We start from the raw sequence: 17417 nt of genomic DNA, 5'->3' as shown, positions 1-17417 counted from the left end.
CAATCTTGAATGTAAACTGATTAAATTTCCCCCCTTAAAATATATAGACTGGCTGAATGGATTAAAAAACATGGCCCAACTATAGGTTGCCTACAAGAAACTCACTTCATCTGTAAAGACACACATAGACTGAAAGGGTGGAAAAAGATATTCCATGCAAACAGAAACCAAAAGCAAGCAGGGTAGCTGTACTCATATCAGATAAAACAGACTTTAACTCAAAAGTGATTAAAAAAAGATGAAGGTTATTATATATTGATAAAGGGATCAATTCAGCAAAAGGATGTAACAATTCTAAATATATATGCACCCAACACTGGAGCACCGAGATATATAATATAAACCAAATATTATTAGGTCTAAAGGGAGATATAGATGCCAATACAATAGCTGGGGAATTCAATACCCCATTCTCAGCACTGAACAGATTGTCTAGATAGAAGATCAAAAACAAAACATTAGATTTATACTGTACTTTAGGCTGGATGCGGTGGCTCACACCTATAGTACCAGCACCTTGGGAGGCCAAGGCAGGCGGATCCCTTGAGGCCAGGAGTTTGAGACCAGCCTGGCCAGCATGGTAAAACACTGTCTCTACTAAAAATACAAAAATTGGCTGGGTGTGGTGGTGGGCATCTGTAATTCCAGCTACTTGGGAGGCTGAGGCATGAGAATTGCTTGAACCTGGGAGGTGGAGGTTGCAGTGAGTCAAGATCATGCTACTGCACTCCAGCCTGGGCAACAGAGTGAGACTCTCCTAAAAAAACAAAAAACAAAAAACTGCATTTTAGACTAACAAAGAGACATTTACAGAACATTTCATCCAACAGATGCAAAAAACACATTCTTTCATCAGCACAAGAAACATTCTCCAGAATAGACCATATGTTAGGCCACAAAACAAGTCTCAACAAATTTAAAATAATTGAAATTATATCGAGTATCTTTCCTGACCACAATGGAATAAAACTAGAAGTCAACAACAAGGTGAACTTTTGAAATTGTACAAATACATGGAAATTAAACATGCTCCTGAATGATCAATGAAGAAAATTTTAAATTTTCCTTTCTTTTCTTTTCTTTTTTTAAGTAGCTAAGAACAATTGCTCTGAAGACGCAAAGCTAAACTAACTGCTAACATCCAAACACAGCCTGACAGTGTAGCTGCAAACTCTGCTCCTGATCCATGGGTAAAAGGAGCTCTCAGCTTTGCAGAAGCCTTCTGTTGGTGCCGCCTGCCGTGGGACAGAAGAGAAGCACCTGTGAGCAAGAGTCATACACTCAATACACCACTGTTGACTCCTAAGTGCCCGGACTTTCATCGGGAGAAGTAGCTTTAGAAGTTAGGTGATGAATTCTATTCATTTATTAAAACGAATTATTAAAAAATACATAAAAATATAATTATAATTATATACTATATTTATAATTATATATTATATTTTTAATTATATTATTAATTATATTATTATATATGATATATTATTATTAATGATATATTATTAATTGATTATATATAATAATTTATAATTATATATAATATATAAAAATATATTATATATTTATAATTATATATTATATAAAAATATATTATATATTTATATATATAATATATTTATATATTATATATAATTATATAATATATAAAAATATATTATATATTTATATATATAATATATTTATAAATTATATATAATTATATATAATATATTTATATATTATATATAATTATATATAATATATATAAGTATATTTATATATTATATTTATATTTATATATTTTTAGGCAGAGTCTTGCTCTGTTGCCTAGGCTGGAGTGCAGTGGTGCACTCGGCTCACGGCAACCTCCGCCTCCTGGGTTCGAGTGATTCTTCTGCCTCAGCCTCTTGAGTCGCTGGGATTACAGGCGTCCGCCACCACGCCTGGCTAACCTTCGTATTTTTAGTAGAGATGGGGTTTCACCATGTTGGCCGGGCTGGTCTCAAACTCCTGACCTCAAGTGATCCGCCTGCCTCAGCCTCCCCAAGTGTTGGGATTACAGGCGTGAGCCACTGTGCCCGGGCATTTTTTTTTCTCAAACAGAAGAGCAAAGATGAGGGAGTCTTCCAGCCTAATAGCACACCAAGGATATTATCTGCCTGCATTAGGAAGCCTCCAGGGCAGACAGGATGGCAGAAACTTCCAATGGGGTGAATGAGAGTGATTTGGAATTACTTGATGGGATCCCTTTGGATGTTTCTGATACCGCCATGCTTCCTGAGGCTTTTCCACTGGGCTTGGGAAAAGGAGAACCCTTTAATATTTAGGAGAGCAGAGAAAGAGGGAGAATGGAGAAGCCACATAACACAGTCTTCTGTGTTTTTCTGGCTGAAAAGCCTGCAGACATTTTACATGCCCCTCAAATTGTCAACAGGCAGGGCACGATGACTCACACCTGTAATCCCAGCACTTTGAAAGGCTGAGGTGGGCAGATCACTTGAGATCAGGAGTCGAGATCAGCCTGGGCAGTGTAGCGAAACCCCATCTCTACTAAAAATACAAAAATTAGCTGTCCGTGGTGATGCGCACCTGTAGTCCCAGCTAATTGGGAGGCTGAGACAAGAGGATCACTTGAACCTGGGAGGCAGAGGCTGCAGTGAGCCGAGATCGCACCACTGCACTCCAGCCCGGTGATGGAGTGAGACTCTGTCTTAACAAAAAAAAAACCCAAAAACCAAAATTGCCAACAGGAAGAAGGCAAAAGCAAAACAGGTGCTCACGGCTGCCAGAGATTTGTGGGCCCTGCCTGGAGTAGAGGTCTAAATGCCGGCTCTGCATTGAAGACATGAGGGAATTTTTTTGTCTTGCTCTTTCCCCGGCTCCCTGTAACTGCATACCATCGTATCTCTTTCCTTTCTGGGTGACAATACCCCATCCACAAGCAGGTTACTAACAAAATGGAGGACAGGACTTCACTCCTCCCCAAACACCTACAGGGGGAAGGTCCTCTTTTACTGAGCACCATGGCTACAATTTTAACAGTTACTGCAAAATGAAATTTGCTACATTCTCATGATGATGGGTTTTCCCATCACCTGAAAAATTACTCACCAAGTGTCTGCAGCCAGGGTGGAAAACACCCTTAAAGTTTAGATATGCATCAGTATTTCCCTCAAGAATAGCACAGGTTAAAAGCTTTCACAAAGAGAAAACAAAAATAAGGAGTTGAAAAACATGTAAGTATAAATTAATAGCCACAAAAGGGAGAAGTTAGAGAAACACTATGAAAAACATCTTTGTCTTGAGGAAAGATACAATCTGAGAAGCAATTCTGCAGGACTTGGCTGAAAGTCAATGGGAGGCTGATCAAATGAAGTGATAGAAACCGTGTAATTTGTCACATCAAGCATCTGCGACAAACCCACATAGAATCCAAGGAATGTAGGTGATCTGACAAAAGTCCTCATGTTTAAAATTTGCCCTAAGTTTCCCCAAATCCACCAAAAGTTTCCCAGCATAAGCCACTTTTTCAGATACAGTTTTACTATCTGTTCTTGTGACACTAGGTGCATTTGAAGAGTTCTTGGGAGCCACGTGTGGTGGCTCACGCCCATGATCCCAGCACTTTGGGATGCCAAGGCAGGTGGATCACCTGAGGTCAGGAGTTCCAGAACAGACTGACCAACATGGTGAAATCCTGTCTCTACTAAAAACACAAAATTAGCCACGCGTGGTGGCACATGCCTGTAATCCCAGCTACTTGGGAGGCCGAGGCAGGAGAATCGCTTGAACCTGGGAGGCAGAGGTTGCAGTGAGCTGAGATCCGGCCATTGCACTCCAGTCTGGGCAATAAGAGCGAAACTCTGTCCCAAAAGAAAAAAAAAAAAAAGCTCTACTTTTTTTTTACTGTTACAATGACAATAATAGAGGCTTTTCTCTCAAGGAGCTCTAAGTGAAATTAATAAGAATTCTCATGACCCTAGAAAGAGAGACTTAAAAAGCAAACACATAGGCCGGGTGCAGTGGCTCACTCCTGTAATCCCAGCACTTTGGGAGGCTAAGGCAAGCAGATTGCTTGAGGTCAGGAGTTCAAGACCAGCCTGGTCAACGTGGTGAAACCCCGTTTCTACTAAAAATACAAAAATTAGCCGGGTGTGGTGGCATGCACGCCTGTAGTCCCAGCTACTTGGGAGGCAGAGGCAGGAGAATCACTTGAACCCGGGAGGTGGAGGTTGTCGCAGAAATCAAGCCACTGCACTCCAGCCTGGGCAATAGAGCCCATCTAATTATTTGTATCTTTTTTATTTTATTTATTTTTTTGAGACGTATTTTCGCTCTTGTTGCCTAGGCTGGAGTGCAATGGCGCCATCTCGGCCCACTGCAACCTCCGCCTCCCAGGTTCAAGCGATTCTCCCACCTCAGCAACCTGGGTAGCTGGGATTACAGGCACCCACCATCATGCCCGGCTAATTTTTGTATTTTTGTAGAGAAAGGGTTTCACTATGTTGGCCAAGCTGATCTTGAACTCCTGATCTCAGGTGATCCGCCCTCCTCAGCCTCCCAAATTGTTGGGATTACAGGCACCAGCCACCGCACCTGGAGAGTTCTCTTTTCTTTGCAAAGGGCAAGGCAAACTGGAATGGATTCACCCGCGAGCGGTGTGCATGCCTTGGAAAGCATTATGGTTAGACTCATGTGAGACGTGTTAGTTTTACTGTGTGTGTTCCCCATGTGTTGCTGCCCATGCGTTGCTGCCATGGTAATCCTGCTCAGTAGGAGAGGAACCCCAGGTTCAGACATTTGGTGTATGTCCTTGGCTGAGGAGCCAATGGGGTAAAGCTACCATATGTGGGATTATGACTGAACGACTCTAAGTCAGAATCCCGCCGAGGAGGAACGATTTGGCAGCGCCGCGGAGCGTTTTTTGGCCTCGGAAAGGCGGTCCTCTGCGGTCCCAGCTGGCGGGCCACTCCGCCCCGCGCGGGGCATGTCCCGCTGTGCACCGGGAACCGGCGTCCGGTGCAGACAGCCCCTCGTCCTGGGAAACGGGCTGCTGCCAGAAAGGTGGTCACTCCCTGACCCATCAGGTAACGTGTTTGTGGGGAACCTGATGCTAAACTATTGGTAGACGCCCTGCTTCTGGGTCAGGATTTTCTATGGAGCAGAGCAGCTCCCTCGCTGCGATCTGCTGAAAGTCAGACCTCCACACAAGGTTCTCTCCACCCGTGTGCGGGGGACCTGGTGATATGGCGTGTCCTGTGTAATTCAGCCCATGAGGTCTACCTTCCTTCCTCCCTCCTGTTGCCCCCGGGGACCTCCTTCCCTGGCCCGCTTATGCCCACCCGCCCCGGAGCCCCGGAGCACGCAGCGGGTGTCTCTTGCGAAAGCCCATCGGCGCCCGCTGTGCATTCGGGAGGCGCCCGTCCCCACTCGCGGTCTTTCCAAGGTGCCGCGCGGGGGGTTGCCGATGTAGGGTTGGCGCCCCTGCTCGTCGTTCCACCTCACCGATTCCACCTCCTCCCCGCAACCCGCTGGGAACTCCTCCAGGGGCTGGGATGGAGCCTGTTGAGAATGGCTGACGCTTGGGTGTTGGAGGGTGTGCCCCTGCGGTTCCTGTCCCGGTAGTGTTCACGCATGCCCGGTGGTGGCCGTTGGGCCCCTCTCCCCACCCCAGGTGCGCGGGAATGGGACATGAGCCAGTCACTGCCCTTGTGCCTTACCTCCTCTCTCCGCTGCCCGGGTCAACCAGCGAACAGTGGAGGAACGGTGGGCCGGTCAGCGGAGTTAGATGGCAGCAAAGGTGGGCCAGATTGGTGGGATAAGGATCCAACTAGGTCTGTCCGCTTCCGTCCGCGAGCGCCGGGTCCACTAGATGTCTGCAGCGAGCGTTGGACTTGACGGTCAACTTGGGATTTCTAAAGTAGAACAGATAACTCTGGTCACCTCATGTTTGAAAAACAGATCTGCTCCCAAGTTCAGTGGAGGGATGTGGCATGTAGGACGAGGGACTTTTCCTTCTGACTTAGTCTGCACGGTGGGGCCTAGGGCTGGAGCTGAGTGCAGATCGATGGCTCCCTCTACCTTGGGTTCCCTTGTCCCCACCCTGGAAGACGGGCCTTGGCAGATCCTGCCCTTCCTGGCCCTTCCTTGCCCTTAAGGCGCTGTCAGAAACCCCATCCCGAGCTCGGATGCTCTGAATGACTGTGGCTCGAGCCTCTCCGGAAATATTTGAAATCTATCCTCCATGCGTGGCCACCTAAAACCACAGGAGCGCGGGACAATCCACCGCCATCCACCTCTCTGCTTTCGGGACACTCCACCGCCATCCACCTCACTGCTTTTGGGACACTCCACCGCCATCCACCTCACTGCTTTCGGGAGACAATGCTGAAAGTCTCTTGCTGACTCTCTCGACTCGAGTTCTTTAAGGGCATGTGGTCAGGACACAGTGAGAACAGATGTATTAAGTCAGGCCGGGTTCGGTGGCTCAGGCCTGTAACCCCAACACTTTGGGAGGCCGAGGCGGTAGGATCTTTTGAGCCCGGGAGCTGGAGACCAGCCTTGGACAACACGCCAAAACCCGAGGTGCATGCCTGTGGTCTCAGCTACTCAGGAGGCTGAAGTGGGAGAATCACCTAACCCTGGGGTGGTTGAGGCTGCCGTGAGCCGTGATGGTGTCACTGCACTCCAGCCTGGGCGACAGACAGAGTGAGACCCTATCACAAACAGATGGACAGACAGACAACAGCTATATTACTTCCTTCTCAGGGTAGGAAGCAAAAATAACAGAATACAGCATTTAAGATTTTTTTTAAATTTTAAATTTCAATCTATTTATTTATTAATTTTGAGTCCAGATTATGAAACCAGCTGAATTTTGTATTTTTGTAGAGACAAGGTTTCACCATGTTGCCAAGGCTGGTCTCGATTGCCTGGGATCAAGGAATCCACCCGTCCTCAGGCTCCCGAAGTGCAGGGATGAAAGACGTGAGCCACTGCTCCTGACAGCATTGTTTTTTTTTTCTTTTTTTTAATCACTTGTCTTTCCAGGAGTTTCATGGCAGAGTGTTTGGATGGCTTGTTTAAATTCATTCTAAATAGGAACTGAGGATGTCAGCTTCTGGCTTCATGGACTCTGAGCTGACGAGTCCCCTTCTTACTGTACACGTAAGAAGTTAAAAAGAAAAGGAGTAAAAAACTTGTAACATTTAAAATAAATAACTTTGTTGTACAGAAATACACGGATGCACCCAAAACACAGAAACGATTCTTTTAAAAGTTGTCTTAGTCCTGGTGGGTGTGCCAGTGATTCTTTTAGGTTTGGAGCTTGACTGAATTTCCAATCGGTCTCTGGACGGAATTTCTAGATGATCCGATGGGTGGGGACTTAGGCTGTGTCCCTCCAGGGGCCCCGGTTGATTAGTTGTGGGGACTGCCTGGGAGGGCGCGGTGACCCACTGTACTGTGGGTGCCTCCATTCTTCCCCTCCCCTCTCCCCTCCGGGTGATCCCAATTCATTCCAGGCTGACACTCTAATTGGCAGACGTTGGGCATCACCTAGAGGCCACTGTTACTCTGAAAACCAAGGCCTCAAGGAGGAAGAAAGCTTGTGGTGCCTGCATGCAGCCCGGGGCAACTGCGTCTTCTCCACTGCCCCTGCCCCCACCTCCAAGTTTCTCCCTCCCTTATTGCCTAGGGAATTGCCACCCTGATGACTGGGTCTGACTGTTCTTTGATCAGTTGAAAAAGAAATAAATATGCCAGGTGTGGTGGCTCACACCTGTAATCCCAGCACTTTGGGAGGCAGAGGCGGGCAGATCATGAGGTCAGGAGTCCAAGTCCAGCCTGGCCAGTATGGTGAAAACCTCCCTCTACTAAAAATACAAAAAATTAGCCAGGCGCGCCTGTAATCTCAGCTACTCAGGAGGTTGAGGCAGGAGAATTGCTTGAACCCGGGAGGTGAAGGTTGCCGTGAGCTGAGATAGCACCACTGCACTCCAGCCTGGGTGACAGAGTGAGACTCCGTCTCAAAAACAAAACAAAACAAAACCAAAGAGGCCAGGCGCGTTGGCTCATGCATGTAATCCTGGCACTTACAGAGGCTGATGCGGGGGAATCACCTGAGGTTGGGAGTTCGAGACCAGCCTGACCAACATGGAGAAACCCTATCTGTACTAAAAATACCAAGTTAGCTGGGCATGGCAGCACTTGCTTGTAATCCTTGAATCCGTGAGACAGAGGTTGCGGTGAGCCGAGATTGCACCATTACTCTCCAGCCTGGGCAAGAAGAGTGAAACTCCGTATCCAAAATACTACTACTACTACTACTACTACTACTACTAATAATAATAATAAAAAATGAGTTTCCAGGAAAAAAGAAAAAAATAAAACCAATAGTGACATAAACACACGCCTCTGTCCTTTCGAGGCAGCAATGATGCTACAAAGTGATCCACCTGTCTCAGCCTCCCAAAGTGCTGAGATTACAGGCGTGAGCCACTGCACTTGGCTATGTGTAATTTCTATGTGTACTTTCTTTTTTTAAATTAAATTAAATTTTTGTTTGGAGACAGAGTCTCACTGTGTCACCCAGCCTGGAGCACAGCGGCATGCTCGCAGCTCACTGCAACCTCCACCTCCCAGGTTCAAGCAATTTTCCTGCCTTAGCCTCCCTAGTAGCTGGGAATATTGGCACGCGCCACTGCACCTGACTAATTTTTATATTTTTAGTAGAGACAGGGTTTTGCCGTGGTTGCCAGGCTGGTCTCAAACTCCTGACCTCAAGTGATCCACCCATCTCACCCTCCCAAAGTGTGGGAAAGAGAGTTTCTGGGGTGCCAGATGAGTTGGTCTCCCCTGTGAGACACCCATGGGGAGCCATGGGCAGCCTCTGAGAAGAAAACTCTCCTTATTGCCTTCATGTCTTTATGCCCCGAGAGCATAACAGCTCAGAGGCATTCCACAGGTTGCTAAGGGAGATAACACTCCCTTGAAACAGTGGAGTATCATCAAACATCTTGGCTCCTCCTGAAACCCACTCCCTCCCATTTCAGTCCCGATAAGTTAAAGATCTTAAGTAGTTTAGACACACGCCTTTGCTCAAGGAAATTCACAAAAACCGCCACTGCTATACATCTTATTGAAGGACTCACGAGTTCTCCTTCGGTGATTAATCCTTTTCCTCATCCCTTTCTACCCCTCCCATCTGCCCTAAGAACAAAGAGCTTGTAAACCATTGAATTCCGCCGGAGCCCGAGAGCTCTGGGCCTGGAGCAAGCCTCCGACGCTCCGGTCCCCTGGACCCGCCTTTTAAACACTTATTTTGTCTCTTTCTAACTCCTTTGTGTCCACTGGACTCGGGGTACCCGCCGGATGGTGTGGGGCTGCTTTCCCCAACACAAACTGCTGAGGTTACAGGCATGAGCCACTGTGCCCAGCTATGTGTAATTTCTTAGCTCATTTCTTGACTGGGTACCATGGGCATTTGGGCCACTTTCTCGTGGAACTTACTTGCGCTTCAGGATCTGTTTGGACCCAATCCGGTCCACAGCCCTTGCGTGTCACCCCGGAGTGCTGCTGTGCACACCCACTTACGCCCAGTGTGTGATGAGTGGCTGAGCTCACACGATAACTTCGTGGCCCCACGGTTGGGCGTTTGGTTTCTACCAACTGCCAGAGGCTAGCTGAGATAGCCTGTGGCTCCAAAGAAGAATGGTTATCTGCAGATAATGGCAGGGCCTTGCTCCGAAATCCTCAAGGCCTCCACTGTGATTCGGAATAGCATATATCTCAAACGGATGGTCCTGTTTTTCTGCTCTGGTCTTTAGGAACGAGTGGAGCCTTCCCGTGCTCTGCCACCTCCTTGCATTTTTTTTTTTTTACATTCATCTATTCATTCATTCATGTATTTTTTAGAGACGGAGTCTTCCTGTGTCACCGAGGCTGGAGTGCAGTGGTAGGATCATAGCTCACTGTGACCTTGAACTGCTGGGCTTAAAGCGATCTTCCTCTGCCTCAGCCTCCCGAGTAGCTGGGCCTACAGGCGCGGGCGCGAGCCACAACACAGCACAACGCCCGGCTAATATCTTCATTTTTTTTTTATTGTTTTCTTGTTTCTTTTCTGAGGCAAAATATCCCTCTGTCACCCGGGCTGGAGTTTAATTGTTCCCGGACCAAACTGAGGGTCAGGCTGCTTATTCTCGCGGCCTGATAACGAGATGCAGATGAGCTGAAAAAGGAGGGAGTTTTTATTTCTGTGACCACTTACAGGGAGAAGGCCTGGAAATATCGCCAGACTGACTCAAAATTACAAATGTTTATAAAGCTTATGTACCTTCCAAGCTATCTGTCTAAGCGTAAGAGTGTATTCGTCTAAAGATGGAAGCGATTGACTCTTTTTTTTTTTTTTTTTTTTTTGAGACGGAGTCTTCCTCTGTTGCCCAGGCTGGAGTGTGGTGGTTAGATCTCAGCTCACTGCAACCTCCACCTCCCGAGTTCAAGTGATTCTCGCGCCCCAGGAGTTGGGATTAAAGGAACCCACCACCACCCCGGCTAATTTTTGCATTTTTCTTAGAGACGGGATTTCGCTGTGTTGACCAGGCTGGTTTGGAACTCTTGACCTCAGGTGGTCTGCCCGCCTTGGCCTCCCAGATTGCTGGGGTGACGGGCGTGGGCCGCCGCGCCCAGCCTGCTGCTTTTGTTACTAGAAATGGATTCTCTCACTATCACGGTATAAACTCGTCTATATTGTGGGATATGGCGTGCACGTGTGTACATGCTTAGGCGCATGTTTCTCCATGTTTTCCCGAGCCACGGTGCTTCTTCCCCCGCAGGGGCTCTGGTCGATTAGTTGTTGGGAGCTCCTGGGAGGGTGCCGGGCTGACACTTCCATGCGTTGTCATCGGTCGTCATCTAGCGGTCAACGTTTTTGAAGTCTAGGCGGCGCACAGGACGCTCTGGCCGCCCGCCCACGGTACGGAAGGAGCGTGGCTTCTCTCCGCTCCCCCCGCCCCCACCCCGCTCTCTGAGGCCCGCTCTACCTCCGTCCCTCTGTTTCCCACTCCTTCATTGCCCAGAAAACCTCTGGAGATTCTGGTTGGGCCAGATTGTTGCTCTTTTGATCAGTTGTTTCCTTTTCTTTATTTGTGTGTTTAACCCGCGTGGACTCTTCTGCCTGGGTTTTACAGATGGCAGCTCCACCCTAGGCCTTTTCGTTAGTAGGGACTTTTCTGATTCTCCCCAGATATTGTGAAAGCAGGTAGATGTCAAGCCTGTGGGACTAAACGACCGAAGGAGGTTATTATGCAGTGCACACCTTTCAAGGCAGCGATGGCAGCACTATGAATTCGGTGTCATTTCTGGAGTCAGCTTGTTTCCTGAGTTGCCCTCCGTGTCTCCCCATCCACCCCAGGCTAGAAAACATTCCAGAGTGAACTACTGTGCCTCCATCCCTTCCCCCTCCTATTTTGTCCCCTCCCCCTCACCTCGGTTTCTCTCCTTCGACGCTGACAGTTTCCTCTTCCTCTCTCCCTCCCTCCCTAGGGAAACTCAACCACCCTGGCTAAGCCGCCATAGTCACTTTTTACCGTTACGTTATGTTTAACATTTTTCTTTCCCTGGCCAGCATATTGGTAAAGTGGAAAGTGCATCATAGCCCCGCCCTGGGCCTTACTATTTTTTTAGAGGTTTTTTTTTTCATCTTTCTCCTTTCATTTCTGTCTTCTTAATTTCTCCAGTTCCCTCTTTCTTTCTCTTTCTTTTTTCTTTTTCTATTTCCTTTTTCCTTTCTTTTTCTTCCTTCCTTTTTCCTTTCTTTCTTCTTTCTCTCTTTCCATATTTCTCTCTTCCTCTTTTTTTCTTTTTCTTTCTTTTTTGATTTTTTTTGAGACAGAGTCTCGCTCTGTCACCCAGGCTGGAGTGCAGTGGCGCCATCTCAACTCACGGCAACCTCCGCCTCCCGGGTTCAAGCGATTCTTCTGCCTCACACACACCCCAGGTAGCTGGGACTACAGGCGCGCGCCACCACGCCCGGCTAATTTTTGTAATTTTAGTAGAGATGGGGTTTCACCATATTGGCCAGGCTGGTCTTGAATACTTGACCTCCCACATTGCTGGGATTACAGCCAAGAGCCACCGCATCCGCCCATTGTTTCTTTTTAAAATATTTTTCCTTTCAGAACGCGACCTCCTTCTTCATTTCCTTTATATCTTTTTCTTGCAGGACTCGCAATCTTTATTCGTTCAAGTTTTTTCAGACGAAGTCTCGCTCTGTCACCCGGGCTGCAGTGCATTGGCCTGACCCTGGCTCACCACAGCCTTGACCTTCCGAGTCCAAGAGATGGTCTTATCTCAGCCTTTCGAGGAGCTGTGACTACAGACGCATGCCATCGTGCCCGGCTAACTTTTTTTTTCTTTTTTTTTTTCTTTAAGTGAGACAAGGTCTCGCTATGTTGCCAGAGCTGGTCTCAAACTCCTGGGCTCAGGTGATTCTCCCAACTAACCTTGCAAAGTGTTGGGATTATAGATGTGAGTCACCATGCCCTGTCCTCTTTGTTATTTTCTCCTCTTTTCTTTCTTTCTTTCTTTCTTTCTTTCTTCCTTCCTTCCTTCCTTCCTTCCTTCCTTTCTTCTTCCTTCCTTTCCTTTCTTTCCTTTCTTCTTTCTGCCTTTTATTCTTTTTCTTTTTTCTTCTTTCTTTTTTCTTTCCTTTGTTTTTTCCTCCTGGCTTTCCTCTATTTCTTTCCTTATTCTTTATCTCTTTCATCTTTCTTCCCTTTCTATGTCTCTTTCTCTCTTTCTTTATACTTCTTTCTCTAGATTTTTAAAATTCTGTCTCTCTCTGTTTCTCATTTCCTTCCTCACTTCCTCCCTCGCTGCTCCTTTCCCTCCCTCCTTCCCTTCCTCTGTCTGTCTCTTTTCTCCATTTCCTTTCTCCCTCCCTTCCTCTGTCTGTCTTTGTCTGGATTCTAGAAGACTCTCCTCATTCTGTATCTCCCTGTGTCCTAACCGATCCGCGACCAAGTCCCGTTTCTTCTTTCTCCTTCTGAGATGCATCTTCAAACTCCCAAGTTGTCTTTTGACTCTGTTGCAGCCTATGCAGAGACACGTTGGGGAACGGTTTCTGTGAAGTTGGGGAGGAGGTGCTGCGTTTTGGGCCTTCAAAAGACTTCCACTCATGGTTTTGGTTTCCCAGTCATGGGCTGCCCTGCCATCTGGAGCTCTGGCGCGTCACTTGTGAGTCAGAGCTCGGGCGTGCAGGGCTTGTGGGGGGAGGCTGTCGCCGCGCTTCCCTGCTCAATGGCAGTGTGGGGCTGCCCTGGCTGGTCAAACAGCACGCCCCCAACTCCCAAGGCTTGACCCAAGACCCGCGGGGACGTATTGGGCATTTTGCGGGTGGCTGGGGACGAACTTCCCAGCCTGGTGGCAGGCCAGTACAGGTCCTGGACATCTGAGGCACCTGCCGAATTATTTTCCAAGTCCCCGGGGGAGTCAGGGACCGTCCTTTACTGTCCTTTGGTTGCCGAGGAGCGGTCACCGGGCCCGGCCCCAGTCCCTCTGCCCTGATCTTTTTTTCCAAGTCCCCATGCCGAGTTGGAGAGCGGTCCCTGAGCACGCATGTGGTCCGAAAGGTGGCAGCTGGCCGGGCTTGGGTCCCTCATGTGATCCAGTCATGCGAGGGACCGGCTGAAAATGACTCCGAGTCTCGCTCTGGAGAAATGGGCCAGCCCCTGCATTGCACGGGTGGCCGGGAGGGTGTCCCTGACCCTCTGCTGCTCCTGTGTGTGTCCCGGGGTCCACAGAAGGCCTGGGTGTTCCATATCTGGCTGCCATGGTGGCCTTTTTGAGGACAGATGTCCAGGTCGCGCATTTCTGGGCCGGTGGTGTGGTCGGTGACTTGACACCCCGCCCCCAGGCGAGGTATATCTTTCACTCCGAGTTGGCATTTTGGGCCACCAGATTGTTGCTGACATGCTGTCTGGCGATTAGATTGGGCCTCTAGATGCATGTGAAGCTCTGGTATAGCAGTAACCCGGCTAACCGGCCCTGCCCCAGCTTGAGCTGATTGCTGGGACCTGTGTGCCTGCTCTCATGCATCGTAGTGTCATAACTGTCTCTGGGCCTTTGACCCTGGTGGGGAAGGCAGCATGGGCTCCTCTGACCCGTGTGCTCCCTGCTGCGGGCACACGGGGTGGTCAGAACAACCCCATCCTGTTGGCTTTGTGCTGTGCACGTCAGCCATTCTCTTCCTTAAATTGTCTGCTGTCCCTATCCCGGAGCGAGGCTGGCTGGGCTGTTATGATCATCAGCTTCGTCAAGAAAGACCCTCACTCAACCACCGCCCCGCTATGGGGCTTTTCATGATCAATGTGATGTCACGCTCTCCCAGGTCGGGACTAAGCCACGAGGAGCAAAGGATGGAAATTCATGGTGAATGGAACCGTTCTTCTCATTCTGCTCGCGGGGCCCCTCGTCTGTCCTCCCCGCTCGTGGGTAGTGTGTTGGGAGGCATGGGGCAGGGAATTTGGCATGACCTCGCTGCCCTCATGCCTTGTGCCTCATGGCTTTGAGAAGATTGGTGGGGTCCTCTGACACAGCAGGCACCTTTGCTCTGGCTTCCTGTGGTTGTTGCCTTGGGGGTGGACCCGGCACCTCTCTGCGGCCATGGGGGACTGTCCCTACAAAACATCATGCTGCCCTTTCTGGGATACGAGAGGGTTGGCACCACCTGGGCCTTTGTGGTGATCCAGGAGTGCTCCAGATTGCCCCCACGTGCCCGAGACAAACGGTGGCGGGTTGTGCCAACCCCATGCCCTCTGCTACAACAGCCACCACGGTGTTTGCCAGTGCTTCCTGAAGAGGTCCTTGGATGGGGAGAGGCGGATGAGTGAGGCAGGCCCCTCCCACTCTATAAGAGATGCTGCCTTGTCTGTCCAGCGCAAGTCCCTTGCTCCACTCTGCCAAGTGCGCGCAAGTACCCGGAGTGATTGTGGTAAGATTCTGTGTACTACCGTGGTGTATGGGCCTCGGGGAGGACTTTTGCCCCAGAGAGAAAGGTGGATAAAGGGAGGGACTTTAGGGGTGAGTGCATGCACACCAGGCAACGGCCCTGATGGAAAGCACTCAAAATTTGCCACAGGCTTTTGGTCGTAAGGCAGACCACTTTCTTCCTCAGGCGTTCAAGAGCGAATCTTCAGGCACAACGAGGGGCAACGGGCGGGGAAGGAGTGTGACCAAAACTCAGTAAGAAAGCCTTCTCTGGTAAAACGAAAGGTGAGCCAATGGGGTACAAAATGCCCCAGTCCAAGGCCTCTGCGTATAATAATGATTCCGTTGATGTGCATAAGCAGAGTTCCCTACTTTTACCATAAACAAGGACAGAAGCCGCGGGGGGCCGTGGAGTCCCTGGCTTACACCCAGGGTGTGTGTCGCCCCCACTAGGGGCACCAGAAAGCGGCAAGAAGACCCCCGGGGGAAGGGAACAGGAGGCCAGGTTTTAAAGGAGACGTTGAGGCAGTCCGGGGAAAAAACTTCCCAAGGAAAACAGTGCCTGCCAGCAGACCCTGGGCCGGGCTTTGCGAAGCCGTGGAGTCCCTGACTTGCACCCAGGGTGCGTGTCACGTCCATGGGGGACACCCCAAAGCGGCAAGAAGTCCTCCGGGGTAAGGGAACAGGATGCCAGTCTTGATAGGGGACGTTGAGGCAGCACGGAAAAAAAAAAGGGGGCGGGCCAGGGTCGTCCAACGGATGACAGTGCCTTCCCTGCAGCCCCTGTGTTGGGCCCGTGGGTTCGTGGAGTCCCTGGCTTGCACTCAGGGTACGTGTCACGCCCATGGGGGGGGCACCTCAAAGCGGCAAGAAGACTCCTGGGGAATGAGAACAGAGCGCCAGGCTTGAAGGCCCCCAGGGGAAGGGAACAGGACGCCAGGCTTGAAAGGGGATGTTGAGGCATTCCAGGGAAAAACTTCCCATGGACGACACCTGCGCCTGGCCCAGGGGGAGGGGGGGTCGTGGAGTCCCTGTCTTGCACGCAGTGCGTGTCTCACCTAAAAGCGCACCCCAATGCGGCAAGAAGGGCTCCGGGGGAGTGGAACAGGACGCCAGGCTTGAAAGGGGACTTTGAGGCAGTCCAGGGAAAAACTTTCCACGGAGGACAGTGACTTCCCGGCAGCCCCTGCGCCTGGCCCCAGGGGGTCTTGGAGACCCTGGCTTGCACCCTGGGTGCGTGCCTCGCCCACAGGTGGCACCCCAAAGCTGCAAGAAAGCCCCCAGGGGAAAAGAACAGGATGCCAGACTTGAAAGGGGATGCTGAGGCAGCCCGGGGAAAAAAGGGGCAAGGCTGGCGTCCTCTCACGGACGACAGTGCCTTCCCTGCAGCCCCCTATTCTGGGCCCGGGAGGGTCCTGGAGTCCTTGTCTTGCACACAGTGTGCGTATCTCGCCCACAGGGGGCACCCCAAAGCGGCAAGAAGTCCTCCGTGGGAAAGCAACAGGATGCCAGGCTTGAACAGGGACGTTTAGGTAGCCGGGGGAAAAAAAGCAGCGCGGCTGGGGTGGTCCCACGGATGACAGTGCCTTCCTGGCAGCTCCTGGGCCGGGCCCGGCGGTGTTGTGGAGTCCCTGGCTTGTACTCAGAATGCATGTCTCGCCCACAGGAGTCACCCCAAAGCGGCATGAAGGTCCTCGGGGGAAGGGGACAAGACGTTAGGCTTAAAAGGGGATGTTGAGGCAGCCCGGGGTAAAAGGTAGCGAGGCAGGTCCTTCGAACGACAGTGCCTTCCCGGCAGCCTCTCGCCCTGCCCAATGGGGTTGTGGAGTCGCTGGCTTGCACCCAGGGTGCGTGTGGCGCCCACGGGGAGCACCCCAAAGCGCCAAGAAGGCCTCCGGGGGAAGGGAAGAGGATGCCAGGCCTGAAAGGGGATGTTGAGGCAGCACGGGAAAGAAAGCAGTGGGCCGCGGTCGTCCCACGGACCACAGTGCCTTTCCAGCAGCCCCTGCGCCGGGCCCGGGGTTGTCGTGGAGTCCCTGGCCTGCACCCAGGGTGCCGATCGCGCCCATGGGGGCACCCCAAAGTGGCAAGAAAGCTCCGGGGGAAGGAAACAGGACGCAGGGCTTGAAAGCGGACTTTGAGGGAGTCCGGGAAAAAACTTCCCCTGGATGATAGAGCCTTCCTGGCAGCCCCTTTGCTGGGCATGGGGGGGTTGTTGATTCCCTGGCTTGCACTCGGGGTGCGTGTTGTGCCCATGGGGGCACCCCAAAGTGGCAAGAAGTCTTCCAAGGGAAGAGAACAGGACGCCAGGCTTGAAAGGTGATGTTGAGGCAGCACGGGGGAAAAAGTGGCGAGCCGGGTTCCTCCCACGGAGGACAGTGCCTTCCCGGCAGCCCCTGCGCCAGGCCCGGGGCGTCGGGGAGTCCCTGGCTTGCACCCAGGGTGCGTGTCTC

The 17417-nt window shown here is 50.5% G+C and overlaps 1 long non-coding RNA gene and 1 pseudogene across 2 annotated transcripts in view, besides 3 other annotated features; both read right to left on the bottom strand.

Annotated features, from left to right (window-relative positions):
- The window catches only part of ERLEC1P1 (endoplasmic reticulum lectin 1 pseudogene 1), a 65494-nt pseudogene extending 54624 nt beyond the window's left edge, over window positions 1–10870 (bottom strand).
- Window positions 226–17417, bottom strand: part of LOC105377134 (uncharacterized) — a 62187-nt gene continuing 44995 nt past the window's right edge. The window contains exons 2-3 of one of the 2 annotated variants that reach the window (NR_188592.1): window positions 5700–5894; window positions 226–1260 (exon numbers count right to left, since the gene is read on the bottom strand). This is a non-coding gene — a long non-coding RNA (uncharacterized LOC105377134). The remainder of the gene's footprint in view (window positions 1261–5699; window positions 5895–17417) is intronic. The other variant, NR_188593.1, reaches the window with a different exon arrangement.
- Window positions 13026–13315: an enhancer, noted in NCBI's record as "active region_18267". NCBI's record gives its function as "activates an Ori minimal core promoter by ATAC-STARR-seq in GM12878 lymphoblastoid cells {active_cell/tissue: GM12878}" and the evidence as "EXISTENCE:reporter gene assay evidence [ECO:0000049][PMID:35858748]".
- Window positions 13026–13356: a biological region, named in NCBI's record as "Sharpr-MPRA regulatory region 1456".
- Window positions 13062–13356: an enhancer, noted in NCBI's record as "tiled region #1456; HepG2 Activating non-DNase unmatched - State 9:DNaseU". NCBI's record gives its function as "activates a minimal TATA promoter and a strong SV40 promoter by Sharpr-MPRA in HepG2 cells {active_cell/tissue: HepG2}" and the evidence as "EXISTENCE:reporter gene assay evidence [ECO:0000049][PMID:27701403]".

The sequence above is a fragment of the Homo sapiens genome, chromosome 21 (assembly GCF_000001405.40).
Source record: "Homo sapiens chromosome 21, GRCh38.p14 Primary Assembly".
Classification (NCBI taxonomy): Eukaryota; Metazoa; Chordata; class Mammalia; order Primates; family Hominidae; genus Homo; species Homo sapiens.
Note: the sequence above shows the minus strand (reverse complement) of the source record. Positions and strands in the feature narration are given on the sequence as shown.